The following is a 27,962-nucleotide window of genomic DNA, read 5'->3' as shown; positions in this document are numbered from 1 at the left end:
CCGCCGCCGGCGCCGCCAGGACCTCCCCTCGCCACTCCTCGGGAGGGGTAAGGGTGACTCGAGCGGCCAGGCGGGCTGGGGCTGGCTCAGGGGCGGGGCCTCGGGCGGGGAGCCGGCCGAGGGGCGGGGCCTCAGGCTGGTCGCCCAGTGCGTGCGGGCTGGTAGGCCTGTCGCGGCGTGACGTGCTCGGCGCCCGCGTCCGGCCCCGCCCCATTTCTCCCAGGCCCCGCCCCTCCGTCCCTCACCGCACCACCCCTAAAGACGCTAGCGCTGCGATGGCGGAGGCCGTGGAGCGCACTGACGAGCTGGTCCGGGAGTACCTGCTCTTCCGCGGGTTCACGCACACACTGCGGCAGCTGGACGCCGAGATCAAGGCGGACAAGGAGAAGGGGTTCCGGGTGAGAGGCCGGCGGGAGCGGCGCGGGCAGAGGCGGCCCGAGGGAGCCGGGGAGCGGGCTTCCCCCCAGCACTGCCTCCGGGGCGAGAGCGGCGCTGTCACTCGCGCCGGGGCGCCGGAGACCTCAGCGCGTCCGACCCCAGCTTGACGGATGAGGAACTGAGACCCTCAGACGGACAGGACCTGCCTGAAGCCGCCCCCCGAGTCAGGAGCATCGCCGAGGCTGGAGCCCCGATGCCCCGGCTCCTGGTCTAGGGTTCTGTCTCCACTCCAGCCTCCTTGGCCAGGATGGCGATGAGGTTTTAGGAGCCGAGGTTAGGTAGATGGTTGCGTTTTGGCAACAGATATTCGTGTTGGCTTCCAGTGGCAGTGGAAGCAAAGAAGTCTGCAGTCCAAAACGTTAGCTGCGTTCAAGTATCTGCGGTGTTTGTTTAAAATGGCCTCGTCAGGGACTCATCGGCAATTTTGCTTCTGCAGTTGTGGAAGACCTCATGGCACATTAGAGAAACCCAAACTTCCCCTGCTCTAAAATGATTTTCCATTGCGAGGTTCTTGGAATGTATATGTGTGTGATTTGTATGTTTGTGTGTACTGACTTCAATGAGAGGCAGTGAGCTAACAGCAAGAGCACTGGAGGGGAGTTAGGAGATCTGGTTTCCTGCCTGGCCAAAGTTAGTGGCTACTTAGTGGCAAAAGCAAATCATTTCACCCCTCTGGGCTTCAGTGGCCTGATCTATAAACTAGGGGCATTGGATTGGTATTGATATCCAAACCCTTTTCCAGATTCTGTACTCTGCTGTAATTGCTCCTCACAAGAAGGTGACTTCCTTGGCTGACACTCTGAGCAGCTACCACGGCTTCGTGGAACTTTGATGACTTGAAGGAGTCAGTCCATGCACCTCCTCATGATCCTTGGGATCTGGGAATTGTGGAGATTGTCTCATAGCTCTTCTTCACCCCACCCCCTTTTTTAAAAATGTGAGGTAACTGAAACTACAGTTAAGCAACACTGCCATTTTTTTTTCTTTTTTGACAGAAAGTCTCACTCTGTCGCTTAGGCTGGAGTGCAGTGGCACGATCTCAGCTCACTGCAACCTCTGCCTTCTGGGTTCAAGCGATTCTCCTGCCTCAGCCTCCCGAGTAGCTGGGATTACAGGCGCGTGCCACCACGTCCAGCTAATTTTTGTATTTTTAGTAGAGTCGGGGTTTCACCATGTTGGCAAGGCTGGTCTCGAACTCCTGACCTCAGGTGATCCATCCACCTCAGCCTCCCAAAATGCTGGGATTACAGGCGTGAGCCACGGTGCCTGGCCTGATGACACTGCCAAATTGATCAAGTAAGTCAGAGGCAGATCCAAGATCTGGAGCCAGATCTCTTAGGTTCTGGGCCAGAGCCCTTTTACACCTGAAATTTCCGTGCTTGCTAGAGGGTCAAACCACTTCTCTAACATCAGAAAATTACTGAAAAACCGTTGCATTAGTATGTTTTGAAAATTTTATAGATTGCTAACTTACAAATTTTTTTTTACACCCAGAAGCCATGACAAGAGGAAAAAGCTTTATTCCATGGAGGGGAGAATTCCCTTCTGTCCCTTACCACCTTCTCCATCCATGTTTCTCGCCAGGTGGATAAGATTGTGGACCAGCTGCAGCAGTTAATGCAGGTGTATGACTTGGCTGCCCTTCGGGATTATTGGAGCTACTTGGAGCGTCGGCTCTTCAGCCGCTTGGAGGATATATACAGACCCACAATCCACAAGCTGAAAACCAGCCTGTTTCGATTTTATCTTGTCTACACAATCCAGGTGCCTGTTGATTCAGGGGTTCTGCTTCCCTTGGTGGAAGGAGCTCTTTGATCCCAAAATAGATTTTCTTCCAGTTCCTAGGGAGGAATCTGTATGTGACTATGGGAAAGAGTGCAGCAGTTACAGTGCAATTATTTTTGACTGTTTTTCTTCTTTTTTTTCCTTGTCGTCATCTGTAGATCATCTGACTTGTCTTCCCCATTCCTATTTCCTTTTTTATGTTAAGCATGTAAGCTTAAAACAAAGGTGGTATTTTAAAGAATATAAGTAGCTGGGTTAAAGTTTGAGTAATAAAGATGATAGCTGACCTGGAGGAATGAGTCACTTAGTTATTTGAACATCAGCTAGGGATTAATTTTTAGGATGGGATTTATCATTAGAACTTCAGCTTAAACCAGCTTTGAAATGACAAGTTCCTTGAGAAAAGAGTGATGATTTCCTTTATATTATGGAATTTTATTTTGCCACTTACCTGGCAGGCTGATAGTCAAAGGTTGTCTGCTGTGCAATGATGAAGAGTCTTACCTCTGGATTTCTGTCTCTCCTCCCTCCTTGCTACCTCCTTGTGTCTTGGCAGACAAACAGAAATGACAAGGCTCAGGAGTTCTTTGCAAAGCAGGCCACGGAACTCCAGAACCAGGCTGAGTGGAAGGATTGGTTTGTCCTGCCCTTCCTGCCATCCCCGGACACCAACCCCACCTTTGCTACCTACTTTTCTCGACAGTGGGCTGACACCTTCATTGTGTCCCTGCACAACTTCCTGAGCGTCCTGTTTCAGTGCATGCATATCCTTTCAGTTGCCTGGGGCTGAAGGCCCAGCCTGAGGCACCCAGACCTCAGGATCAGTAGCCCGCTGGTCTCCATACAGGCATTTCTTCTACAAAAATGCCCAGGGACCATTTTTATGGGTCACATGAGGGGGCTGGACAAATTGTGGTTGTTTTTGTCAGTAAGCCAGGGAATCATAAATCTTAGTTCTGACACTGTGCTGCTGAAGTATTAGCTGACGTGTGGGCAGTGACAGTGGCAGCAGTGGGGTGCTAGTACTGGCTTTGTCAGCAGGCACTGGGGTTGGAAGGCAGCTGCTGCTTGGAGAAACCGGGCAGCCTTGAGAGTACCCTCTCTGTGCATGAAACGTGTTCCCGGGGATATACCTTTGCTGGGATTAGGTACAGATGAGAAGACTTCTTGGGTTGGAACTTCTGTCTGTGTTAGTGTTTGGGTTATTGTCTCTAATAGTAACTTCAGTGTTCCTCAAGTTGCCAGAGAACACAGTAGCTTTAAGAATATATATGCGGGTATTGGAGAGGGGGAATGAATGAGAATGCAGGTAAATAATTTACAGCCTACCAAGTGTACAAGCCAGAGCTCCCAAGGCCATTGTTCATGCTCCCTAGGCTGGAAATTTAGAGGAGGAGAAGGGAGTCTGGCTTGAATGGGGCTGGCTGGTGAGGCACTGATAAACTTGGGTGTTTAGAGGCCCACCCATGGGCAGGCGTTTTGGCCTCTGGGAGGAACACTTTCTGGTGGAGGTGGGAAGGGCACCTTTCCTGCCTTCACCCTTTCTGTGCCCCAGATGAGTGTGAATTCCACCCTTGCCAGAACTGCCTTGTTTCTTCCCCGTTGTTCCCTCTCTTCATCCTGAGGGCTCTCCAGTTAACTTTGTGGGCCCTCCAGTGAAATCGAAACTGTCACTCAAGATCTTTTCAGTGCTTCTCAAACTAGCTTACACACATATGGGCTCTAGTCCCCTCTCCAGTTCTGAGGCCCTGTCTGCTCTGTGCTCCTCCTAACTGAAGCTGCCTGAGGCAGTGGAGAAGGACCAGTATCCCAAGCTATAGACTGTCGTTGTTCTTGGGGTGGCCACGCAATCTGCAGAAAGCTTTCTCTTCTCAGTCCAAACCTTTGCCAGGGAGAGGCTCAACCTGGGGAGGCGAAGCCAACTGACTGGTCTTTTCTGCCTCATTGGCTGTATTACTGCAGAGCCACTGGCCTCCAGGGCTGCTTTTAGCTGAATGTAGTGACCTCACTAAAGCTCAGACTGGCTGTGAAGTCCACTGGATGCTAGCTCTTTGCTTCTGGTATTTGAGAGAAAATGCTTAGGTTTGGATTTATGTCCCCTCTGTGGGCTGGCCAGGCAGATGGTCATGCGTCTGTGAATCTGTCCGAATGAAATGAGGCCAGACCTAGAGAAAGTCTTAGAGACAAGACTGTAGGGAGCGACTATTTCATTAAGCCCGCAAGAGCCCACAGCACCGCTCCTATACTCTGTTCTCTGTGTCCCTGTGTCTCATGTGTTTTACTGGTGTGTCAAGGGTTTGGGAAGGACGTTTAAACATTTCAGGGGCTGGCTTATTCTTTAACTTCGTGCACCAGTCCCTGTGATCCTGAACTTTGATGCGGAGTGTCAGAGGACTAACCAGGTTCAAGAAGAAAATGAAGTTCTGCGTCAGAAGGTTTGTTCTGAACAGGCTTGCTCCTGAGGAAGTACTTCTGCTTTTTGTGTGTGAAATTAGGTAGTGGCAGTGGAACACTATATTAATCAGGTTTCCACTGCCACTACCTAATTTCTCAGATGGAAATGAGTCACCAGAAAGTCAGTATTGGGGATTTGGAGAGTAACAGTCTCTGAAAACCAGAGGCGAGATTCATATTTTAAGTCAGATATGTAGCATGAACAATATAGTAACAGTAATTAACTTTTAAGGAGAAAAAGACTATATGCATCCATGCCACCTTATAACTAACCTGTTTTCATGTGTCTGTTTTGTCTTTCCACGTATAGCTATATATGTGTGTATATATATATACACATATATATGTAAACTATATGTATATATATAAACTATATATACACACACACACATATATATAGTTTATAACCCATATATAATTTAGTTGTTCCTACTCAGCTATATGCTTCTCTAGTTTGATAAAACAATAGAGCCAGGGGACCCACATTTGCCTGTACATGTTGCCTGAGGAACATTTCTCTTTCCTGAAATTAAGATCTCCTTAGGTGATATTGTTAGGAAAAGGAAGATTATAGGCTGTTTAGGTTATGGGGTTTAAGATTCTTGGGATTTGGGGTGTGTGTATATGTAATTTTCTTCAGGCAAAAGGTTAAAAACGCTGTAGTTCATTAACAGGTTTTTTTTTTTTTTCCATTCCAGAGTCAGGCTTTGAGAGTTCTAAAGCCTGATTTTGTAGATTCTAAAAAGCAAAACAGGTTGGGTGGAGCTATTTTTCTCAGTGAATCTAGGAGGAAGCAAGTCAAATGATTAAAAAGAAAATGGGTTTTGGATTTCTAATGGTTTTTGGTTTTCTCACCTCATTGTTGTCCAGTGACAGCAGTCACTTTTCCCAGTCTGCAGTGAGCAGAGTGAGATGGGCCCCTTGACGCTGAGGCGAGTGGCACTCAGACCAGTGGGCTTGGATGCGATGTGTCTAGAAATCTTCCTCCGCAGAGGGAAGGTTAGGTGAGATCATTGGCTAACTCAGTCCCACCCCTGTATAGCTTTTTGCATTGCAAGCTGAAATCCACCGACTGAAGAAAGAGGAGCAACAGCCAGAAGAGGAAGAGGCCTTGGTCCAACACAAATTGCCTCCTTATGTCTCCAACATGGACCGCCTGGGGGACTCGGAACTGTGAGTGTGTGTGACGGCCCTTTCCTTTTCTTTGCCCTCTGTGCTCTCAGCCCCACAGTTCCCTCTGATCTTGCCTTGCCTGCAGTCCTCTGTGCCTGCTGAAGGAGAATTGCGGAAGAGCCTCCTGGCACACACTGCTCTTGCTTGAGAGCTTTATTTTTATTTTTAGAGATGGAGTCTCGCTCTGTCGCCCAGGCTAGAGTGCCGTGGCACAATCTTGGCTCAAAGCAACTTCTGCCTCCTGGGTTCAAGAGACTCTCCTGCCTCAGCCTCCCAAGTAGCTGGGATTACAAGTGCATGCCACCATGCCTGGCTAATTTTTTTTGTATTTTTAGTAGAGATGGGATTTCATCGTATTGGCCAGGCTAGTCCCAACTCCTGACATCAAGTGATCCACCTGCCTTGGCCTCCCAAAGTGCTGGGATTACAGGCGTGAGCCACCGTGTCCAGCCTTGCTTCAGAGCTTTATGAGTAAGGTCCCCATGGCCTCAGAAGTCCTCTAGGAGTTCTGAGCCTCCGAGCCTGTGGCTCTGCCTAGAGGTGGGGAACTGCACAGCTCTGCCAGCTCTACATCCAGATATGTGTAGTCAGGATAAATAAAAACGCAACCACTGTGGTAAAGTCTTGGGAAGGTTTTGTGCATTGGAAGGAGCATCTCATGTATGGAAAGATTGGTAACCACAGGTTGGATGCATTCCTCAGTAGAAGCATGCACCTCTCTGACGGTTTAAAGAGGAAGGCAGATTAGAGAGAGGTATTTGACCTTCAGAAACAGCCAGTTAAAGCAGAAGCCCCAGCTGGTGATAATAATAGTAGTGGTTGAAGAAACAGAGGTACACACAGGTGAGGAAGACAGTGATTGGTGAGTCACGATGCAAACCCAGGCAGCCGGATTCCAGACCTCCACATAGCCAAGTATTGCACCAGATGAAATAGCTCTAGTGGTGGTGCCAGTTCTTTCTGATGGAAATAAAATGCGAGCCAAATACGTAATTTAATTTTTTTAGTAGCTATGTTAAAAAAAAAACAAGATGAAGTTAATTTTAATGATATATTTTATTTGGCCTAGTATATTCAAAACATCATTTCAATATGTAATGGATATAAACAAAATGTTAATGAGCTATTTTATTCTTTTCATGCCAAGTCTTTGAATTCCAGTGTCAATTTTACATCTCTAGCACATCTTGATTTGGACTAACCACATTTCATTTGCTCAGTAGCACACGTGACCAGTGGCTATTGGACAAGACAGCTCTGAGTTTACTGTGACCCTCAAAGAAGAGCCGCAGACTTCACCCTTGTAACAGATAAGCTGCTGGCTCCCTTTGTGCAAAAAAATGATGCCAAGGATAATACCACCTTAAAGCCCAGGCTCTTGGACCTGACCCAGGCCTGGTCACTTAACGTCATCCATAGCCCGGGAGGTCTATGTTCTTGGTTTTTCCACATCCTGTTTCAGCCCTCTGACCCTGTGGTGTGTTTGCTGACCAGTGCCATGGTGTGCAGCCAAAGGAATGCCTCCCTCTCCCAGTCACCTCGTGTGGGCTTCCTGTCCTCGCTGCTGCCTCAGAGTAAGAAGAGCCCCTCAAGGTTGTCGCCTGCTCAGGGCCCTCCTCAACCTCAGAGCTCGGCCAAGAAAGAGTCCTTCGGTGGTCAGGTAAGCACAAGTCCTGCCTCTCTAACTCTGGCCAAGAAGGCCGTGACAGCTCCCTGTGCTTCCAGACCTCCTGGTCAAGTGTAGACTTGTTTGCCCTCCTTTTAGGACTGATTTCTTGGGCATGTTGATGAGATTCTGAATTGAAATCTCATTCCCTTTCTTCCCCCTTTCCTGGCTTTCCTCTCAGAAAGTGATGGTTCTGCAGGATGAGAATCTAGATTAGACTGTAGCAGACGATTTGAGAGGAGGAGGAGGAAAATCCACCGAATGCATTCTGGCTCCCCGCTTCATCTTCACCTCTGGCTAGACTGCAGGCACTGTGGTGTTTGATTGCTGGGTAGATCTTGTGCACTGATCAAGGCAGTGCCAGACCTCACACCCAGGTCTCCTGACCCAAGGGGCTGCCTTCCCTTGCCTGCACTCCTGTGCCAGTTCTCTGAAGTCTGTGATGCTTTCTGGTTGAAGTAGTAGATAGCTGATGACAGGAAGTAGGCTTTGAAGAGTCTCCCCTCTTTTCTCATAAATTTCCTATGAACTCATAAGGGCTTATGACTGTTTTGGTGGCTCAAGTGTGAGTTCAGGCAATTAGAATTTTGAATTTTTGGTGATATAAAAATAGTGTTTGGCTAAAGACTAAATCAAGAATTACCTCTGAATCCATGCATTTTGCCTACAAGTTGGTATTTGCTGATTCTGCAAAGGATTTTCACTATTTCTCACTTTTATGGAAGACTGCAAGCGGATCTTTTTTTGATGTCAGCTTATATCCAAAACAGCCAAGGGTCCCACTGACTAGTTTAACTAGCAGACATTGTCAGAATTCATTGCTTTCAGAAATGCCTGCAGACTGTTTATTGCTTGCGTAGGGACACTTTGAGTGTATTATTAGTTACAGATAAAATAAATAGTCATAGTCTGTGGCTTCTTCTCCTACCAGCCTCGGTGTGAGACCAGTTGCAAGTGGCACAGCAGTTTGGGGCTGCTCGCTGTACCCAGGGAGGTAGGGGTCTGCCTCAGGCTGCCACTGGAATACAGCACTTGGGCTGAGTATTGTTGAACTGAAACACTGAGCAGGACACTGGATCAGAAAGAGCATGGGCTTTGGGGCCAGGCACCTTAACTTTCAGCTCTGGCTCCTCGTTTGTCATTGGTGCTCAGGTTGGGTAAACCCACCCCAGTTTGCTCGGGATGATAATAATAGTATTTACTCCCCAGGGAAGGATGAATTGAGCTGCTAGAAGAAGAGTGCTTGACAGAGGGTCAGCACTCAGTAAATGTTGGTAGTAGAAGTTGTATTCCTGCAGGCCCTGGCCCACGTGGGTACCTGAGTTAGTTCTGAGACCTAAAGTGCCGTTAATGCAAAAAAACTGTAATTTAGCTGCCATGAGGGTTCAGGCAGTTAAAACTCAAACATGGTTACTCCTATGAATATTTTTCTGAAATTCAAATCTTAAAGTTAGAATTCCAGTTCTGTGGAGTGTGGCCGAGTAAGTTGTACTGCTTGCTTTCTGGATCTCTCACTGTGCAACATTTTATAAGTTTAATAGGTGATGTGTGGAATGTTGAGTCCTTTGAAATGAGCTTGAAATTATGGAATTCAATTTCATTAACTTGAAAGAAAACATAGAGACAGCTTCTGTGGGAGTAAGCTGTGGCCCTACTCTATGTGGTTAGGAACTGTGTGTCACATGGTGAGGTTGAAATGAGATTGGAAATTATTTGTGCAGTTTACAGCTAAGCAATGGGGATAAGAATGTGTGATTTGCAGTAAAACATGCCTTACCTTTCCTCTAAAATATAATGGAACAAAGATTTGGTCACTGTGTGGTGTGTTAACAGAGCAGTTTGTAGTTCCTCAGTGAAGACGAAAGATATCTCTAATCTAAAAAACCCAATAGTCAGGTCACTTGTTTTTTATTAATGGTAGATGATTTAGATTCAGCATTAATGTTTCACGTCTAAAAATAACTAGTAGATTTGAGGTTCAAGAAAATCACAGAATTTTAGAGGGAAGCTTGAAGGTCGTCTGGCCTACCTCCTGCTGAGTATAGGAGTACAGTGTCTGGATTGATTGCCTCCTAAGATGCAGAGCTCATTGCTTGTCAAAGCGGGAACATATGCATGTTAGAAAGCTATTAGAAGAAACTTCTTTATGACTTTTCCTCACAGATCTTAGCTTAGCCCTCTGGAGCTACATAGAATAATAAGGCTTATTGTGTAGAATGACTCTTCCTACCTTTTCCATGCTAAGCACTCTTGTTCACCCTCCCTCCAACCCCCACCTCAACTGTTTGTCCCTATGGCATGATTTCCCCTCACATCCTGGGCCCCCTGCTTTGGGGGACATTCTAATGTTTCAATCCCGCTATTACAATTAACACCTAAATTTGAGTGTACAATTCCAGATGCTCTCTCAAAGATACTAAATGCAGGGCATGGAAAGATCACTTCCTGCCATTTTCATAATGTACTGCTTTAAACTCAGTATACAATGGCATTGGTTTTTAAATAAGCCACATTGCTTTGTAAGTGCATATTAAGCATGTCATCTTTTTTCCTCGCTGCTACCACACCAGAGCCCTTCTTTCTTTTTTACTGTTAAAGAATAAGCACACACAAAAAATAGGCTGTATTTTGTTGTTAAATTAGCAATATGTAAAAATGATTAGACTTTCCTATCTTAAATATAATTTATAGAAAGCATTATAAATTTTGCTCACATCAGCACTTTGCCTCCTTGTAATTGGTTGCTGTACCTGTTGTCATTATTACTGAAACGTTCATAGCATTATTCCTGTAAAATAGATGGCAAAACAGATGCAAAATAGATTGCTTTTGTATTGAAAGCCTGGCAGATACTCTCCAGGCTTTCAATATGAGTCTGGAGGCAATTTTTTTTTTTTTTTTTTTTTTAGTGGAAATAACTGCGAAACCACACTTCCCAAGCCCTTCTAGGATCTCTAATTACAATAGCCGGGAGGGCACATCCATAGCAGGCTTGCCTGGGCTGCTGCTTGGCTCACACAGCCTGTAGTTTGTACTCCATCCTTCCCACCAGCAAGAATTCTGCTCCTTTCACACCCACTTGGTGAGCCATGGAAATTACCTCATTATAGAGATAACTTTTAATCGGCTGTAATGTAAGGCACCAAAGCATCCACAAACTTCTGTGCTTGTGACTGTTATTAGTGTCAAATTACCTCCCAGTTACTGAGAAGTAAGTGGTCACAACCACTGCCCTGAAGGTTTTCCCCAAGGATCTTGGCAGTAAGGAGAAAGCCTGTCTTTCATTCTGGGATTTCTGTGTTATGAGGGCGTGTTTTCTGGGTAGCTTTGTTTAGCTTCAGGTGAGACCAAATTACTGGAAGTTGTTTGCTGCTCCATTTGGATGGCTGCCATCCTGGTAAGCTCTGTGAGGCTCTGGAATCCCTCATGACCTACTCATTCCACCGGAAATTAATGGGTATCAACTTATGTCTGTCTCCAGAGTGAGAAGGTCAAATGATAAGACAGAGGTTACCGTGTCTCTCCTGAACTGTAGCAGTCAGGTAGATTATGATAGAATATACTTTAGACTATTGGGATATTCTGTTATTTGAAGCCAGCAGTTAAAGACTATTATGAGGGTTGCACTTAAAATGAAATAAAACTTTCAATGAACAGTTATTTCATCTGTCCATCAGTCCATCCATTTGTTATTTAGCCAGTCATGAATGAGTGCCCAGCTTATGCGAGGCGTGGTGCTGGGTGCTAAGGTTACAAAGATGTGTAAGGTAGGGTCACAGTAGAAGAAGCTTCCAGAAGGGTGCAAGCTTCTCTGTGTGCAAGTGTCATTGTCTAGAGAGTACACAGTTCTGCCGGCATCTTTCACTCTCTCCAGCTCTTTACCCATACACAAGTGCTTGGCCAGAGTTTTATGGATTTGTTTGAAGGTAATTACTTACATAGCATTGTGACTTTACCCCTTTTTCCTTTGTTTTTATTTTTTAGCCTTTTATTTCTAAAAAATTAACAGTTGCCAGTAAGCATTCACTTGTTTTGTACATTTGTGGCTAGACACAAATTGGCCTTCACCTACTTATTAAAAAGTTTTGTGGACAACCGCATTCACCAGCTTTTAATATATTATTATCTTTTGTTATTCAGTGATTAACATAGATTTAAGGAGAAAGGAGAACCTATCCTCTTCTTTAAAGCAAAATCTGATAGGTCATGCTTAGGTCCATCACTGTCTTGGCGTAAACTGCCCTATCATTGTAAAGGTAGTTCTTCTCTGTACCAGATGCCTTCCTTGCTATCTTGACTTGTGAGGGAAGTATTACCTTTGTACTTCTCAGTGTTTTATTGTTTGCTCCTGCTGGGGAAGTGTTACAAGTGGCTTTCAAATAAGCCAGAGGAATTCGAAGCCTCCTCCTTCCATCAATATTCACCAATTGATTGAGCACTCTTTACTGTTGCTGAAAAAGGAAAAGACACCATTATCCAGTGGAGGGGCTGAATAAGGCAGGAAGGGGCCCATAAAGTGCCTGTCTCCCTCTGTAACAGTTCCCACCTTTGCTTCCAAGGCAGAATCCCCCTGTGACCCATGTAGAGCACGGCATACATGTAGCAGCACAAAATGTGGAAGCGGCACCTCCTGGACTGTGATGTGGCTGCTCAGTGTTTGCATTTTCAGTGATTTCTTCTTACGGGGGTTTCAGAGCCTTGTCTTGAAACAGGACACGACACAACTGCCTACCACCTCCCCAGATCTTAGCCTTGACAGCCAACTCCAACAGGCCACCTCCCCACTCCATCTCTCTGAAACTCTGAGGAGTGGACATTACCTCTCCGTGGCTTTTGTCCTCCCAGGACCCATACACAATTGTTATTGACACAATTCTGATACTTGGAATTAAATGTGTTTGTGGCTGATTGAGACAGGTTTACCATCCTTTCTTTGTTCACGGAAGTACTTGAAGTTTATAAACAGGCCAAAAATAGTAAATACCCTGCAGGTTAGTCATGGTTTGGTTCCAGGTAAGCTAATAGTCCTTTAAAATTTTCTTTTAACTGTTCACATGGCTGCAGGATTCCAAGGAATCCATGTTAATCATTTTAAATTATTTACTGTTGACATAAAAAATAACAAGTAGAAGAACTGGAAAGCAGCAGGTAGACTTTGGTTGAGTTTCTTCTCTTCACTTAGGGCTTGTGTAGAAATGGTTTCTTGAGAAGATTGGTCTCAAACCTGAGTAGCTGTTTGCATTCATATCTCTTTGCTAAGAGTGTAAAAAATGAGGGTGAGGGTGTTTGGCCATCACAATTTGTGGGTAAAAAGCTGGAAAAAGAGAGCCCTGCCCAGCAATCTGGAAAGATGTGGGGGTGGCAGCTCCTTTTAAGAGTTTCTAGATTAAGAATGGAGACTTCTTCTCTCTATACAGGTGGGGTGGGGATGATCAAATTCATCCCCTCTTGCTATAACTTAGCTGACCCTATCACTGTTGTTATGAAAAGGAGCCAGAAAATACCGGTTTATTTCCTGTCCGATTTATCTTTCTTAACATTCCTTGGGTTTTCAACAATTTCTGTTAAAAATTTCTGGTTTTCTAGTAATCATTTTCAAACACCTCAGTATTTGTTAATATTAGCTGGTTTAGTCCACACTTGGCCCAAAACAAGAGAGGGTACTGTGTTCCTTTTCCTTTTCCCTCCAGAGGTGATTGCTTGTTGCATAAATAATTTTTAGATTGCCCAAACATATTGTTGCTTGTAAATGTGTATAACACCAAGCGTAGGCCCCGGCCTGCCTTAGTCATCACTTAGTAAGTGCTGGCTCCTTCCCCTCAACTAGACTAAATTGTTCCGATTAGATCAAGATGACATCTTCCTCCAGATGAGAGATACCGCAGGATGAGGATTGCAGGTGACCTGTCCTCTTAACGGGTAGAGGACAGAAAGGAGGAGGTCATAGCAGGGGCTGACTATGACCTCACCTACATAGCTGAGCCAACACCATTTTAACCACCTGCCCCCAACCCACCACGCCCCCCCGCCCAGGGCTGACCACTCCTGGCATGCTTATCATGGCCTGGGCAGATGGGAAGAGACTTCACAGCCAGCTTCTTTTCCTCTAGGGCACCAAGGGAAAGGACCCGACGTCCGGAGCCAAGGATGGGAAGAGCCTCCTCAGCGGGCTGGCCACTGGGGAGTCCGGTTGGTCACAGCACCGGCAGCGGCGCCTGCAGGACCATGGCAAGGAGAGGAAGGAGCTTTTCTCCACAACCACTTCCCAGGTATGGGGTTGTCCTGAACACCCCTGGGGACACTCATGCAGCTACTGAGGAACACTGTGGGGGGTCTTCTCTTCTCTCTCTTCTGAGTTCTGCAGCTGTGCAGAGTGTGCTTTTGCTTAATTGGTTTCAATGGCTTGTATTTTGGTTATTTGGGTTCATCATTTGCCTGGCTTTTCTGTGGTCCATTTCTCCCATGCAGCATTTCCCTAAGTAGGGGCCAGAAAATGCAGGCCTCTAGAAGTGCTCTCAGAAGATGACTTCTGTGATTAAGCTGGCTTGGGAACCTTTGCATACTCATCCTTCCCTTAGGTTAATTGTGCTAAGCAGCCTGTGGTGGGCTCCTGGAGACCTGGTTCCCTCGGTTTCACCCAGTCACCCAGACTTGCTTGGTCACAGGATTCCTTTCTCCTGTGCTGCCTGAGGCCCAGCTGCCTGTATTGCTGCACTGAGGGCCATGTGCCCACACAGTGGGAGGCTGTGGCCCAGGCCCTTCTGTACTGAGCCCTGGGCTCTGGGGACTCCCCTCACTGGCCAGTGTGGGCCACAGCCTGCTCTTTGTGGCATTACAGCTGCTTCTGTTTCTGCCAGATACTCCCGACTGATGGCAAAGTCTAAGGTATTTACTGGTTCTCTTGCCCAAGTCACTGTCTTCACCATTTATCTCATAATTGGGGCTATTTGCCTGTTTTAAAGGTATTTCCTCATTAACAGCCTGGTACTGTGGTGACAACAGACCCCTAAGGCTCAGATCATAAGTTCTGGCATTTCAGGATTCAAGATGCACTTGGGGGCCACCCAGAGCCCCATAATGTCTGAAGTTCCTCTGTTATTTTTTTTTATTGTTGAACTCCTCCTCCTGCCTCTCTGAGGAAGCACTTGCAGGAGCATCCGGACCCCAGGGCTGGTAGAGAGTGCCCTGGCCGATGCCCCCAGCCTGGATTGTGTCTAGGTGAGCACCAGATGGTAGCCAACACCTGCTGTCCCAGGGACGTAGAGATGGGGCAGCCTTGGACCCCCAGTGGCCCTTGGGTCTCTGTCTTTCTTCCTGGCCAGTTGTGTCTGTTTCTTAGTTTCTCAGTGCCCACCTCCCAGGAGGGCTGGTGGGCCTAGGGGTGCACTGGAAAGGGGCCGGGCTTACCTCTTACCCACCCAGCTTCACATCCAATTTCTCCCCCTTGCCAGCCATATGACTTTGGGCAAGGGATTTGGCTTCTCTTTCAGTCTTTTAGTTTCCACAGCTGTAAAATGGGGAAGATAATAGCATCTCATTGTTTGAGGAGGACTAAATGAGAGAAATCTGTAAAATACTCAGCGCGGTGTGTGGCCTGCACCACGCATCCTCCGCCTGGCCTGTTGTCAAGGCAGATGTGTGTCCTGGGTCCCATCAGCTGTGTCACAGAGAGGCCACAGCCCCCTCTCCTTCAGCAGGGCCTGTGTGGAGCAAAGTCTCCAGGAAGGGGCTGTCAGGAGGGCAGGCCCTGCACTCTCCCAGGGTGAGCTGAGCACTACCCTCGCAGGTCAGAGCTCTCCTCTCCACTCTGTAATTACCGAGAACCCCGCAAAATGCTGCAGCCTAGGCCTAGACCCCCTGCGGTGTACACCCTGGTGTGGGGGACCCTTTCCTGGCTGACTTGTCCCCACCCTGCTTGTGACAGTGTGCAGAGAAGAAACCAGAAGCCAGTGGCCCAGAGGCTGAGCCCTGCCCAGAGCTCCACACGGAGCCAGTGGAGCCACTGACTCGGGCATCCTCGGCAGGCCCTGAGGGTGGAGGAGTCCGCCCCGAGCAGCCCTTTATTGTGCTGGGACAGGAGGAGTACGGGGAACACCACTCATCCATCATGCACTGCAGGTGGGTTGGGCCTGGGGCCAAGGAAACCCTGGGAAGCTCAGATTTTCAGGCAGTACACGTGGAGGTGTGGCCAGCAGGAGATGGCGGAGAATGGGGGCTTGGACGAGGGCCACAGTCATGGCAGTAGAGTCATGGGAGTCGGTTGGAGCTGCCAGTGGACTGGTCAGCCTGTCTGCCCTTTTTTTTTTTTCCTTATTGAGACAGAGTCTTGCTCTGTCACCTAGGCTGGAGTGCAGTGGCACGATCTTGGCTCACTGCAACCTTGCCCTCCCAGGCTCAAGCGATTCTCGTGCCTCAGCCTCCCAAGTAGCTGGAATTACAGATGCCTGCCACCACACCCATCTGATTTTTATATTTGTAGTAGAGACGGGGTTTCACCATGTTGGCCAGGCTGGTCTTGAACTCCTGGCTTCAAGTGATCTGCCCATCTCAGCCTCCCACAGTGCTGGGATTACAGGCGTAAGCCACCGCACCGGGCCTCTCTGCCCTTTCTAATTGTGTTTCTCTCAGTTTTAGGAACAAGTTACACTTTATTTTAGCCCCCCAAACTCACTCAATTTTAATTTGCTTTATGATGGTACTTTTAGGTAAATACCTGATTTGTAATTTACCATTTGTAAGTTTTTACTTAAGCACAGTATAAACCTTTCAAGAACAAACCCTGGTGGGGCATAATTTTCAGCTGTAGATGGGTTTCTCGTTTTGACAGCCCTGATGGCTCTTGGGGCCCTTGGGCTGTTCTGGAGTGTGAGTTGGAGGCTCTAAATCTCCAGAGACTGCAAATGGCCTCAGGGCAGGGCCCTGCAACTCTTGCTCACGGCTCTTTGCCCAGAATTGACCAAAAGCTCCGCACATGGTTGGCACTTAATAAGTATTTCTTAGACAAACGAATGAATGAATATTTCTAGAAATAGTCTATACCAGTCCTTTGAATGTAGACCTCTAGGGATTGTTTTTTTAAAACAGTAAGGAAGTCAGGAAAGTGATCATCTTGGCATTAGCAGAAGAGGATGGGGACTGAGAGGCCAGCTGACAGGCCTCCCTTTTCTCTCATCTCAGAGTGGACTGCTCTGGGAGGAGAGTCGCCAGCTTAGACGTAGATGGGGTCATCAAAGTGTGGTCCTTCAACCCCATCATGCAGACCAAAGCATCCTCCATTTCCAAATCACCGCTGCTGTCTTTGGAATGGGCCACCAAACGGGACAGACTGGTGAGTAATGGTGGCCTGTGGGGCCCGCTTTGCTGGCTCAGTGGAGGAATTCCCCAGGGTTCTCCACCGGCTGAGTCAAGACAGCCAAGCCAGTTCCCCTCCCTTCTCTCCATTATTGGGGATTCAGGGACACACATCCAGGACTGGCCCAGAAGGCTCCTGTTGTGGGAAGACAGGGAGGTTACCAGATTGACAGATGGAAATGAGCTGCAGGGGGCCTGGAACACACGGCTTCTTCCTGTTTGTGGTGGTCCGCCCTGGGGACCACCTGCCTGACTGCTGTCCCTCCATTTGTCTGTGTTTCCAGCTGCAGTTTCAGTGGGCGCCCTCCCGTGCCAGGCCCCACGGGAAGTGGCTTCCGCTGGTGAGGGGCTGGTGTTCTATTTTGTGGTTCCCATGGGTCTTATTGTCCCCAGGAATAGTACAGTGTTCTTCCCTCTGGATTTGATATTTGAGATAGGACTTGTAGTTAAGGAGGTAAAATTGCCTTGCTGTTTTTTCTTTTACTTCATTTGTGGGGATCATACCACATAGCCCAAGATGCAAACCCTGTTTTTCTATAATTTTTGGCAGCTGAAGGGATTATCCTCATGGATGAGGACCTCAGGGCTTGCCCTGTGCCAGCGCCAGTTTGCCAAGTGAATGCCGAGGTCACACTCTACCTAATATTCCTGTGAGACACCCTCAGACCTGGGCTGCTTCTGGCACTTTCCTCTGGCACTATTATTATCTTTGAAGCTTTTCACCAAATAAGTCACAAGTTCCTGAAGGCAAGGATAGCCCCTTTTATTTTTTTTTCTGGAGGTCTTTACAGACCCAGAGCCAGAGCTGTCCCCTGAAAAGGCAAATGGGAGTCACCCAGGCCCTGTGGCAGCCGAAGCGAGTACGCTGGGAGGGGTGCTGGGCAGACCAAGAGTGGGAAGGAAGGGTTCCAACAGCTGGGGTTTCAAACTGAAGAAAGGGAGGATCAGAGGGCCTCATTCACCAGCCAGAACATTTCCATATGTGTCCAAGGTGACGCGTCTCTCCCATTCCACAGATACTTTTTGTGGTTTTGCTTAGAAGTTCAAGGTCAGCTCTCACGTCTTTGTTTAATTTTAAAGTGAGGCTCATTGTAGCCAGATTTCCCCTGAACTGCCTGGATGCGTAGAGGAGGGGCCTCACCCCCACAGCCTGCCCAGCCTCACCCCCTCTGGAGATCCTCCCTGACTCAGCCTCACTCCATGCTATCCTTCCCACCTCCCGCCCCTTGTCATTCCAGCTCTTGCTGGGCAGTGGTGTGGGAACAGTGCGTCTCTATGACACGGAAGCCAAGAAGAATCTCTGTGAAATCAATATCAACGACAACATGCCCAGGTGAACTGGAACCTACCCCCCACCATCAAGGCCGCAGGCTGCCAAGTGTGGTCCGCGGGGCTGGTCCTTTCCCAAGCCTAATGCCCCATCTCCTGTGCAGGATCCAGCCTCAGGACCAAAGTGCACCCTCCCTCTGTGGGCAGGCAGAGGGTCTGACCCAGGCCCATGTGTGTTGCAGAATCCTGTCTCTTGCGTGCAGCCCCAACGGGGCCTCTTTCGTCTGTTCGGCAGCAGCTCCGAGCCTCACTTCCCAGGTGGACTTCTCAGCACCAGACATCGGCAGCAAGGGCATGAACCAGGTTCCTGGCAGGCTGCTGCTGTGGGACACGAAAACCATGAAGCAGCAGGTACGGGCCTGCCCTGTGGCTCTCTCTGGGGCCAGGCACACACTCTGTATTCCCCTGGGTTTCTGAAGAGCCTCTTCCCTCTTTTTGCTTTGGTCTCCTCAGATTTTTAATAAAGTTTTGAGTGTTGAAAAGTAGTGTACTCCAACTGGGCAGATTGTTAGTGACATGTCATTCAGAATTGTGCCACAAACTTAGAAGACACCCAGAACCTACCAGAGGGCCCCTGTGGTTGATTATTTAGGAGAGGACTCGTGCCTCCCTCTGACATACTGTTACCTTAAAATTGTATGAGAATTATAGCAGCAGCAGCCAGCAGTAGCAAGGACACATACAGATTCGTAAGAAGCGAGGTGACCAGACAGCCTGTGAACTTGCTCCCAGGGGACCTGGGCACCACCTCAGAGCCAAGGACCCCTTCCTTCAAGACAGTAATAGATGCTGCAGCTGCCACCCTGAGCCCCAGAGAGATTGAATGATGCTAAACTCACCTTCCAAGGCAGTGCTACTTCTTATTAAAATGATTCGTTTCACTGCTTACAAGTCATATGGCCTTTATGTTGAACACATTGTTTCCTGATGCTGCTGGAAGCTCAAGGCTCCTGCTTTCAGTGGGTTCCTGTTCCAGATGTTCAGTTTGTTCTGTTCTGCATCTGCCTGTAGAAGTGGTCTGTGTTCCCTTTGGGTCTGTCAGACCTCTCAGGCCCGTCAGGGTCACACTCGAATTCTTGACCTCCACCCCTTGCCACATCCATCCCTCCCCTCATAATTTTCCTCACTTTGGCAAATGTGCCTCACTTAGAAATTGGGGATCTTGGCCAGGAGCAGTTGCTCATGCCTGTAATCCCAGCACTTTGGGAAGCTGAGGCAGATGGATTGCTTGAGGCCAGGAGTTCAAGTCCAGCCTGGGCAATGTAGTGAGCCCTTGTCTCTACAAAAAACTTAAAAATTAGCCAGGTGTGGTGGTGCTCACTTGTAGTCCCAGCTACTTGGGAGGCTGAGGCAAGAGAATTGCTTGAGCCTGGGAGGTGGAGGCTGCAGTGAGCTGATGTGGTGCCACTGTATTCCAGCCTGGGTGACAGAGTGAGACCCTGTCTCAAAAAAAAAAAAAAAAAAAAAAAAAAACACAACAGAAATTGGGGTTCTTCCCAGACCTGTCTTTTTCCCTCTGCTCACACAGTCAGTCCATAAGCAAATGCTGCCAGTGTGTTTCCAGTCTGACCACTTCTCTGCATTTCCAGGGACATACTCTAGACCTATCTCTCGTGCCCCTCCCTGCCCACTGTCCTCTCCACCAGTTTAATTCAATTCCTCTTAGTTCATAGCATCTTGTATTTTCCTCCAAAGTTCTTATTACAATTTGTAATTATATGTTTACTTGTGATTTTCAAGTTTTTAATTAGACATTGAATACATACAAAAGCATATTGAAATCATAGGTGTATAGTATAATGAGAAGAAAAGCAGTACAGTGAGCACCCACAGACCCATCACAGTTTATACAGAACATCACCAATACTTTTTAGCTCTTGTGTAGCCCTTCCCAGTCTTGGTCTTTTTCCCTTCCAGAGAGAACCTGTCTTGAATTTTGTCATACTGTTGCCTTACTTTTTTTTTTTTTTTTTTTTTGAGATGGAGTCTTGCTCTGTCACCCAGGCTGGAGTGCAGCGGCACAATCTCTGCTCAGCACAACATCCGCCTTCTGAGTTCAAGCAATTCTTCTGCCTCAACCTCCTGAGTAGCTGGGATTACAGGTGCCCACCACCACACCCAGCTAATTTTTTGTATTTTTAGTAGAAATGGGGTTTCACCATGTTGGCCAGGTCTCGAACTCCTGACCTCAGGTGATCCACCCACCTGGGCTTCCCAAAGTACTAGGATTACAGGCATGAGCCACTGCACCCGGCCTGCCTTACATTTAAAAAATTACTTTATCATGTCAATTACTATATATCCCTAAACAACCGAATTTTTGTTTTGCAGGTTTTCTGACTCCATATGAATAAACCACAGTATATGTGTTTTTCTAGAATAGCTTCTTGTATTCCAGGCTGAACACTGCTTCCCTAACCTTGTGACTTGGTCCATCCTCTGGCTGCCTTTGCTGAGACCGGGACATTAGCTCTCCATGTAATTGGCATTCCTTTGTTGTCTTTTCTCTCTGGCTGCTTTTAAAATCTTACCTGGTTCTCTGGATGTGGATTTTCTGGTTCTTAACTTTTGAAATTAATTTTTTTGAAGTTTTGCTTGGGATTTGTTTTCTGAATCAGAGGATTTGTGTCTGTTCAATTCTGGAAAATTCTCAGTCATCATTTTTTCCAGTATTGCTGTTCTCTGATCATCTCTTGCCTTCTGGAACTCCCATTCCATATGTGTTAGAACTTGCCTCTTCCTCTTTTTTGTTTCACTTTGCTGCATTCTTGATAATAGTTTCTTCAGATCCATCAGTTTGCTAATCTCTCCTCTACTATATCTAATCTTCTGTTTCATCTATTTATTAGGATGGTAATTTCAGTTATTGTGTTTCTCATTTTTAGAAGCTCACCTTCATTTTTTAAAACCTGCTTTGTCGTGTTTATAGTCTCTCATTTTTACCCATATTTTCAATTCCTTATTTTATTTTGTTGAACAATTGAATGTGCTTGTATGTTCTCATTATAAATCTAATGTCTGAAGTCTTTGTGGGTCTGATTCTGCTCTGTTGTCTCTGTGGGTGCTGGCTCCTTTTGCCTTATTTTCCTGTTTCTTATGAATTGTGATCATGGTGTTTTTTGGGCCAGTATCTCTGAGAATATTTTGAGGCCTGGGTTGGAGGTGCATTTCTTTGGATTTGCATTAATTTTTGCCAGGTTCCTCCCACGTCAGGGCTAGTTTGTGGTTATGAATTTGCAGGGAGGTAAGTTTTCTTGTTATCCCTTTCTGTGAAGTAGGTTTGTTTCTAGTTCATTCCTGCACTGAAGGTATAGCTCTTTGGAGTCTCAGCTCCATGTGACGGTTTCTTATCGCCTGACCTTGGGCAGATCACACATGGTTGTCTCCAGGCTCCTGAGCTCCTCATGGGTAGCAGAATGGGAACTTGAGTCATCTGGATCTGATTAATTCCCCATAGTGAAAGCCGGCTTTGGAGTGCACTGGTTCTCTGCGTTCTTGCTTTCTCTTAGTTGTGGCCCTAGAGGATTCTTTTATTTGCTAGCTCAGTACTCTGTGTGTATTTTAAATAACATTCTATCTTGCATTTTTAATTTCAGGAGGATTATTTAGTGTTCCCAGGGTTTCATATTGTTTGAAATGATAGTGTTCATTAATTATGTAATTAATAGACATTATGTTCTATGAGGTGGTTTTGTTTGCTACTATATTTCTGAGTGTTTCTGTGGGGAGCCATAGGGCAGGTTTATTAGTGTTGTCTGTCATCAAAGGCAGTTGATGAAGTGTTATTTTCTGAGGGCATAAGACTTTTCAATGAGAATTTGCTTGGAATGCATTCTGGGTGAAGTGTAGGTTGCTAAGATATGTATTATTTCTTTTATAATGGAGCAAGCATGGATTATCATTTCTCTATGGAAACCAGAATGTATTTAGGCACAGAGAACTTGTTCTCAAAAGAGCACAGAAGGTCACTGGCACAGCACTTTGGCAAAGGCTCAGATCTACATTTCCAGATTACATAAGGGAGGAGCTGGTGGAAAACCCAGTCTGGGGCACCTGTCTGCATTGGAATAAGCAGCGTGCCTGGGCTGAGTGAAGATCTGCTACTGACATTTTTGTTTTATTTCAATAGCTCCAGTTCTCCCTGGATCCAGAACCCATTGCTATCAACTGTACAGCCTTCAATCACAACGGGAACCTGCTGGTCACAGGGGCAGCTGATGGCGTCATCCGGCTGTTTGGTATGCAAGTGTGCTCATAGCAATCCTTGATCTCCTTAGATTTCCCAGGCAATTTTTTTTGCCGACGTTGGATTTTTTTGCCAGCTGGGCTAGAGGCTTTTGCAAAACCCTGACTTCAGATGCATGTACTACAGCTTAACTTTGGTCAACGTTTTCAAAACACCCACCGTAATAAACTCGCCCATAGTTAGTGTCAATAGACATGGGAGGGGGTGGAGCTCAGCGGTCCTTGAGTCTTGAGTTGTTCCATCTGAGTCCTTGTCACCCATGTGAAATACAGGAGGGCATACAAGAGTACTGCTGTCCTACCTACTTGCTGTGGGTAGTTGATTCTCAAAAGCATCAGAACAGTGCTCCTTAACCAGAGGCATACATCAGAATCACCTGGCATGCTGTGTAGAAATCCCCAGGTTGGGCTCTGTCCCCAGGAGACATCCCCAGAGCCTGGGCTGGGGCAAGGCAACTGTATCTTTAGGGGATTCCCAGGGCACATGGGGAAGTTACAGAGGGGAGTTTCTCAGGTGTCTTCCTAGACTTAGGGCTCCCCAGGTGAGCTCCCCCCAGGGACTCCTGAGCCTCACTTCTGACCTGGTGAAAGAAGCTGCCTCTGAGGCTTAGAAGCAGCCTGACCTCTTGGGCAGGGGCAGCTTTATGGCGCTCATTGGGTCCTGGGTGCCTGCCCTTGGCTTCCAGAACAGCTGTCAGCCTGAGTAGAGGGTGAGGGGGCCTCCTGCTGCAGGCAGATTCCTTCTGCAGAGCCCTGGCCAGGATGTGAGTGGCCGTGTCTCATTGCCTCAGACATGCAGCAGCATGAGTGCGCGATGAGCTGGAGGGCCCACTACGGGGAGGTCTACTCTGTGGAGTTCAGCTATGATGAGAACACCGTGTACAGCATCGGCGAGGACGGGAAGGTAGGCGGCTGCAGGATTCAGATAAGAGAGCACCGGGATGACATGTGGGCCGGCTGCAGGTTGTGGCCATACCTGTTACTAGCTCTGCAACCTGGGGCCTCTTTTTGCAGCTTTGTTATCTGTAGAATAGGGATAAACTAGTAATTCGTCTTACAATCTTTGCGAGGTTTTAGTGAATTCAGTGGGAGTTGGCTATCCTTATGAAAGGAAGTACCAAAAATTACTCATCTTACCATAGATGTATCTGTGGGGTCTGGATTTAGGGCTGAGTTTGCTTTGCTGGGCTTGGTAGTGAGTGGTCCCAGGACCACTCATGGATGTGTAGTTTGCTGAGTGGCTGGGTACAGCTTCTTAGATGTGTACAGACCCCAGCAGAGCCCAGAGATGTAAACAAGAAGCCAGAAAAAAAGGAAAAGTACATGCCCCTGGTAGATTCCCTCTGTGGAGGGTTAGGAACTAGGAATAGTGACTGCCTCAGAGGGGGAGCTGGCAGGGGCAGAGATGGGAGAAGGATGCCCTTTCCATGTGTGCCTGCCTGGACTTTTGGGATTGGACACTGTCTATCTTTTTATCCCTTGAAAGGAGTAACTACAAAATAAATTCTTCATTTGAAAAGTTTGGGAAGGGACTTTTACATTAAAGCTCGACTTCCTTGTTATGTGGGATGCTCAGTGAAGAGGTGGTCACAGCCAAGTATCCTGTCCGTAGGGTAGGCTAAGGGATGATGTCTGCTATGATAAGAAGCTGAGTTTATAATGGCATCGCCCAGTGTTCAATTGATTATATGCCTGAAACACTGGAAATATATGTGGACTTTGTCCTCTGTACCTTGTTCCTAGGATAGAAAAATCTAGTTGGGGTCTAACTCTGATAATAATAATAATAATATGTCACTTGAAGCATTCCTCCTGCTTGAGAGACCAGGAATCCAGGCAAAGCCACTTGCTGTCCCTTTTCCTCTCCTAGGGTCAGGCCAGAGAGAAAGAGAAGGGTTGGACTTTAATGTGAGGTTGCTGCCTCTTTTTCTAGATTTTCTTCCCTAAAAAATGCTTAAATCATGTTGACCAGAGATAGGACCTGTAGACCTCTCACCCACTTTTCTGCCTCTGGCACTTGAAAGGCTTTTCAAGGATGTCAGCACTGTGGCTGGGGGAGGCGGGTCGCCCTCGCCAGCCTCTGCTGTGGGGTGGGTCCTGGCTCTTCCTTGAGGCCTGCATTGGCCAGCTCCGCTGCGAGCACCCTGCTTGTGCCCTGTGACTGCAGTTCATCCAGTGGAACATCCACAAGAGTGGCCTCAAGGTATCCGAGTACAGCCTCCCCTCAGATGCCACGGGCCCCTTTGTGCTGTCTGGATACAGCGGCTACAAGCAGGTTCAAGTCCCCAGGGGCCGACTCTTCGCTTTTGACTCGGAGGGAAATTACATGCTGACATGTTCTGCCACAGGCGGCGTCATCTACAAGGTAACTGATGGTTGGGGGTGGGAGGTAGTGGTATTGTGGTGGGCAGGGGTTCCTCCCTGGAGGTCTGGGCCATGGCTACTGAGCGAGGCCCTCTACCCCGAGCTGCATGGCTGTGGAGATGCCTTTGACAAAGGATCGCTGGCTAGCTAGTGCTGGGGTTCAGAGGAGAGCCATGTTTCTGCACTAACTGAAGGCTCCCCTGTGGCCAGCACTGTTCTGGGTGTGGCAGGCTGGCCCCCCGGCAGGAGAGAGCTGCCCGAGGCCCTGCTCTCCTGCAGCTTGCATTCCCCAGTATGGGACATGAACCTTCAACAAATAAGCAGATTCATGAGCACCTGCCAGGTAGTGAGAAGTGATGCTGTAGTGAGAACAACCAGTGTGCGTGCAAGAGGCACCAGCCCACAGCAAGTTCAAGGCAGCTGAGAAAATGCCTTTTTTTAAGGAGCCGCTCAGGGACTTGTTTTCCACTTCAGATGGACCAGCTGTAGTTGGGAAAGTGCAAGCATTTCCTGGTTCAAAAAGTTAAACAGACTTTCTGGAAAGGTGGGCATGTGTGTCTGGCCTCAGGCACATCCTCAGGTAGGCCACTGAAAGTGGATCAAGTGTGTGTAACTGGTGTTTGCTGACACCTCCTCCTCTTTCCTGTCCTCTTGCAGCTGGGTGGCGATGAGAAGGTTCTGGAGAGCTGCTTGAGCCTAGGTGGCCACCGAGCCCCTGTGGTCACCGTGGACTGGAGCACTGCCATGGACTGTGGGACCTGCCTCACCGCCTCCATGGATGGCAAGATCAAGCTGACCACCCTCCTGGCCCATAAAGCCTGATGACTTGCCCCAAGGGCCACCCGAGGAAGCAGTATTATCTGCGGTGGGGGGAGGAGATATAGGACAGGAAAACCACGTGCTCCACTCCAGCTCCCTGCCAGTGCAGTGACTCTGCAGGGAAAGACTGGCAAGGAGGCTCAGGTGCTTCCATCTGTGGTGACTGGAATGGGACCCACGTGGAGTAGGTGACATATGCTTCCCAGAGACTGGTATTGTGGCTGTGCCAGGAGTACATGTGAGACTATGGGAGGAAAGCTCCGGAAGAAGGAGAAACATTGCAGTGGCTACTGTGTTGGCCCAGTAGAAATTGACAGTATTTTGTATATATGTGCCCATTTATCTTTTTCTTTTTTAAAAAAAGAGAATACTCTTGTGGTCCCCTGATGTCTCTTTCTAGGATGTGTGTCACTTTGCTTCAGTGACAGCCCTCCCACCCAGCCTGGCTCTGCTGGCCCTGAACTGAACCTCTCCAGGCTCTCCTGTTGCTTTGCCATGGAGCCAGGTCAGCTCTCTGTCTGTTCTGCTGGGTAACAAGGTTTGGCAGTTCCTGTTTCTCTGGGCTTAAGTCAAGGCCACAGAATTCTTTTTCTTCCCTGAAAGCTGGCAGCTTTTGTTACAGAAGATTCTCAGGATGAAGGCAGGGGCTGAGGCCTCTGCTACTGGCTGCCCCTTTCCATCCAGTGGCTGCTGTTTCCCAAGACAGGCTAAGCGTTTCTTATCTGAAATGCTTGGGACAGGAGTGTTACAGATTTTGGATTTTTTCAGACTTTGGAATATTTGCATATATACATAATGAGGTATCTTGGTAGGTCTCATGTCTAAACATGAAATTCATTCATGTTTTATATATACCTTATACATGTAGCCTGAAGGTAACTCTATACAGTATTTTAAATAATTTTGTACATGAAACAAAGTATTGATTGTGGTCAGGTGTGGTATTTTCCACTTGTGGTGTCATGTTGGTGCTCACAGTTTTGGGGCTGGGCACGGTGGCTCACGTCTGTAATCCCAGCACTTTGGGAGGCCAAGGTGGGTGGATCACTTAAGGTCAGGAGCTTGAGACCAGCCTGGCCAACATGGTGAAACCCCATCTCTACTAAAAATACCAAAATTAGCCAGGCATGGTGGCAGGTGCCTATAATCCCAGCTACTCTGGAGGCTGGGGCAGGAGAATCACTTGAGCCCAGGAGGCGGAGGTTGCAGTGAGCCGAGATCACGCCACTGGGAGAACCCAACTCAAAAAAAAAAAAAGTTTTGGGTTATGGAGCATTTTTGATTTTGGATCTTTGGGTTAAGGACGCTCAACCTGTACCTTTTTCATTTGGTGGCTCCTCTCATTCCTCCAACTGAACATCTTTGTGGAAAGATGATGGCTGCCTGCACCCACTGCTGGCGAATGGTGAGAAGGTAGAGCAAGGGGGCCAAGTTGCTGCTGGTGGGCACCTGGGGTTCAGGCCGGCCCAACTGTGGCTGAGCCGATCTGTAGCTGAGCTGAGTGTCAACCAGCTGTGTCCACACCCTGCCTGAGGCCTGCCCTCTCCTCCCTGGCTGGGGTGGGACCTTGAAGAGGCATATCTTCCCACTAGGTGAGGAGGAACAAGAGCCTCACTCCCCTTCTCCCTCTTGCCTTTCACAGCTGAGGCAGAGCTTATGGGAGGAGTCACTATGGGAGTGATGGACCTGGGCTTTGGTCTCCAGTGTTTGGCAGGGGCGACCTTATCACTGAGCTGGGGAAGGCAGCTGCCATGAGTCATTTTAAGTCTCTGAGCTCCAGCCCAGTTCTAGGGGCACAAGGCTGGAGTAGGGATACTCCTAGTTACCTGCTTGAGGAAAAGCACGAAGAAATTGGTACCAAAGTCTTGGCTTTGTTCTGGGAGTTGAGGGAAAAGTAGGGAGGTATTTAAGTGGCTTGATTATGAGAAAACACCAGAGACAGTAGTAAATAGTTATTTACCGATTTTTACCCATTTCTACCCTGGTAATCCTCCCTGCAAATGAAGAAAACCAAGACTTCTTTATTTATTATCTTTCCCCATCTGTATTGAAACAGTGATCTTACTTATCTCACCCAGTGATTCTGTAGGACATTTAAAAAGTGGTCATGGGTTTCATTGGAGTGAGAATGGTATTAACGTTTCCTCTTGTCATCTCAAAGTTTTCTCTCCCCTTAATACCATCTCTACAGCTTGCTGAGATGCTTTAAGGATCACAGAGACACAAAGAAAATTTGAACCCTACGCTTCTCCCATCCCACTTCTTACTCCATCCCGGGTGAGCGCTCGTCCTCAAATAAAGCATGTTGGAACTTCCGCTTATCTCTCCTTCCATAGAC

General features: G+C 47.7%; 1 protein-coding gene and 1 non-coding gene across 9 annotated transcripts, besides 9 other annotated features; both read left to right on the top strand.

Annotated features, from left to right (window-relative positions):
* Window positions 10–549: a silencer, noted in NCBI's record as "silent region_18678". NCBI's record gives its function as "represses an Ori minimal core promoter by ATAC-STARR-seq in GM12878 lymphoblastoid cells {active_cell/tissue: GM12878}" and the evidence as "EXISTENCE:reporter gene assay evidence [ECO:0000049][PMID:35858748]".
* On the top strand, window positions 252–27,939 carry WDR91 (WD repeat domain 91). 8 transcript variants are annotated; one of them, NM_001362736.2, is made up of 16 exons: window positions 252–398; window positions 2,023–2,202; window positions 2,780–2,987; window positions 4,576–4,658; window positions 5,720–5,850; window positions 7,345–7,510; window positions 13,627–13,785; window positions 15,441–15,634; window positions 16,694–16,844; window positions 17,152–17,208; window positions 18,106–18,200; window positions 18,379–18,547; window positions 22,326–22,434; window positions 23,233–23,345; window positions 24,609–24,806; window positions 25,463–27,939. In NM_001362736.2, exons 1-16 carry the CDS (start codon window positions 276–278, stop codon window positions 25,625–25,627), a joined length of 2,301 nt encoding a protein of 766 aa, NP_001349665.1. In that variant the 5' UTR covers window positions 252–275; the 3' UTR covers window positions 25,628–27,939. The 8 variants fall into 8 exon arrangements, 6 of the variants coding, with proteins under 6 accessions (NP_001349665.1, NP_054868.3, NP_001349666.1 ...); NM_014149.4 differs by lacking the exon at window positions 17,152–17,208; NM_001362737.2 differs by lacking the exon at window positions 17,152–17,208 and having other exon boundaries at window positions 18,301–18,547.
* Window positions 1,720–2,919: an enhancer, noted in NCBI's record as "BRD4-independent group 4 enhancer chr7:134893611-134894810 (GRCh37/hg19 assembly coordinates)". NCBI's record gives its function as "activates an origin of replication core promoter dependent on BRD2, P300/CBP, MED14 and CDK7 cofactors, and independent of BRD4, by STARR-seq in HCT116 cells {active_cell/tissue: HCT116}" and the evidence as "EXISTENCE:reporter gene assay evidence [ECO:0000049][PMID:35650434]".
* On the top strand, window positions 4,700–4,784 carry MIR6509 (microRNA 6509). Its single transcript, NR_106764.1, has one exon. It is a non-coding gene; the product is annotated as a microRNA 6509 (primary transcript).
* Window positions 4,709–4,868: a silencer, noted in NCBI's record as "silent region_18677". NCBI's record gives its function as "represses an Ori minimal core promoter by ATAC-STARR-seq in GM12878 lymphoblastoid cells {active_cell/tissue: GM12878}" and the evidence as "EXISTENCE:reporter gene assay evidence [ECO:0000049][PMID:35858748]".
* Window positions 7,736–7,950: a silencer, noted in NCBI's record as "fragment chr7:134888580-134888794 (GRCh37/hg19 assembly coordinates)". NCBI's record gives its function as "represses an EF-1alpha promoter that drives an FKBP-Casp9 reporter gene in an ReSE screen in HepG2 liver carcinoma cells {active_cell/tissue: HepG2}" and the evidence as "EXISTENCE:reporter gene assay evidence [ECO:0000049][PMID:32094911]".
* Window positions 14,040–14,299: an enhancer, noted in NCBI's record as "active region_26712". NCBI's record gives its function as "activates an Ori minimal core promoter by ATAC-STARR-seq in GM12878 lymphoblastoid cells {active_cell/tissue: GM12878}" and the evidence as "EXISTENCE:reporter gene assay evidence [ECO:0000049][PMID:35858748]".
* Window positions 17,383–18,582: an enhancer, noted in NCBI's record as "CDK7 strongly-dependent group 2 enhancer chr7:134877948-134879147 (GRCh37/hg19 assembly coordinates)". NCBI's record gives its function as "activates an origin of replication core promoter dependent on BRD2, BRD4, P300/CBP, MED14 and CDK7 cofactors, with strong dependence on CDK7, by STARR-seq in HCT116 cells {active_cell/tissue: HCT116}" and the evidence as "EXISTENCE:reporter gene assay evidence [ECO:0000049][PMID:35650434]".
* Window positions 22,904–23,033: an enhancer, noted in NCBI's record as "active region_26711". NCBI's record gives its function as "activates an Ori minimal core promoter by ATAC-STARR-seq in GM12878 lymphoblastoid cells {active_cell/tissue: GM12878}" and the evidence as "EXISTENCE:reporter gene assay evidence [ECO:0000049][PMID:35858748]".
* Window positions 23,074–23,293: an enhancer, noted in NCBI's record as "active region_26710". NCBI's record gives its function as "activates an Ori minimal core promoter by ATAC-STARR-seq in GM12878 lymphoblastoid cells {active_cell/tissue: GM12878}" and the evidence as "EXISTENCE:reporter gene assay evidence [ECO:0000049][PMID:35858748]".
* Window positions 24,675–24,724: an enhancer, noted in NCBI's record as "active region_26709". NCBI's record gives its function as "activates an Ori minimal core promoter by ATAC-STARR-seq in GM12878 lymphoblastoid cells {active_cell/tissue: GM12878}" and the evidence as "EXISTENCE:reporter gene assay evidence [ECO:0000049][PMID:35858748]".
* Window positions 27,940–27,962: the final 23 nt, after the last annotated feature.

This window comes from Homo sapiens, chromosome 7, assembly GCF_000001405.40.
Source record: "Homo sapiens chromosome 7, GRCh38.p14 Primary Assembly".
In the NCBI taxonomy this organism is placed as follows: Eukaryota; Metazoa; Chordata; class Mammalia; order Primates; family Hominidae; genus Homo; species Homo sapiens.
The sequence above is the reverse complement of the archived record's forward strand: the minus strand, read 5'-3'. Positions and strand labels throughout refer to the sequence as shown.

What these genes read in the sequence shown, in the direction of transcription:
- WDR91 (NM_001362737.2), top strand. Translation starts at nt 276, where the DNA reads ATGGCGGAGGCCGTGGAGCGCACTGACGAGCTGGTCCGGGAGTACCTG. An exon ending in ATGAAGTTCTGCGTCAGAAG is followed by an intron (nt 4,659 to 5,719) that starts GTTTGTTCTGAA and finishes ACCCCTGTATAG; the next exon opens with CTTTTTGCATTGCAAGCTGA. An exon ending in AAGAGTCCTTCGGTGGTCAG is followed by an intron (nt 7,511 to 13,626) that starts GTAAGCACAAGT and finishes CTTTTCCTCTAG; the next exon opens with GGCACCAAGGGAAAGGACCC.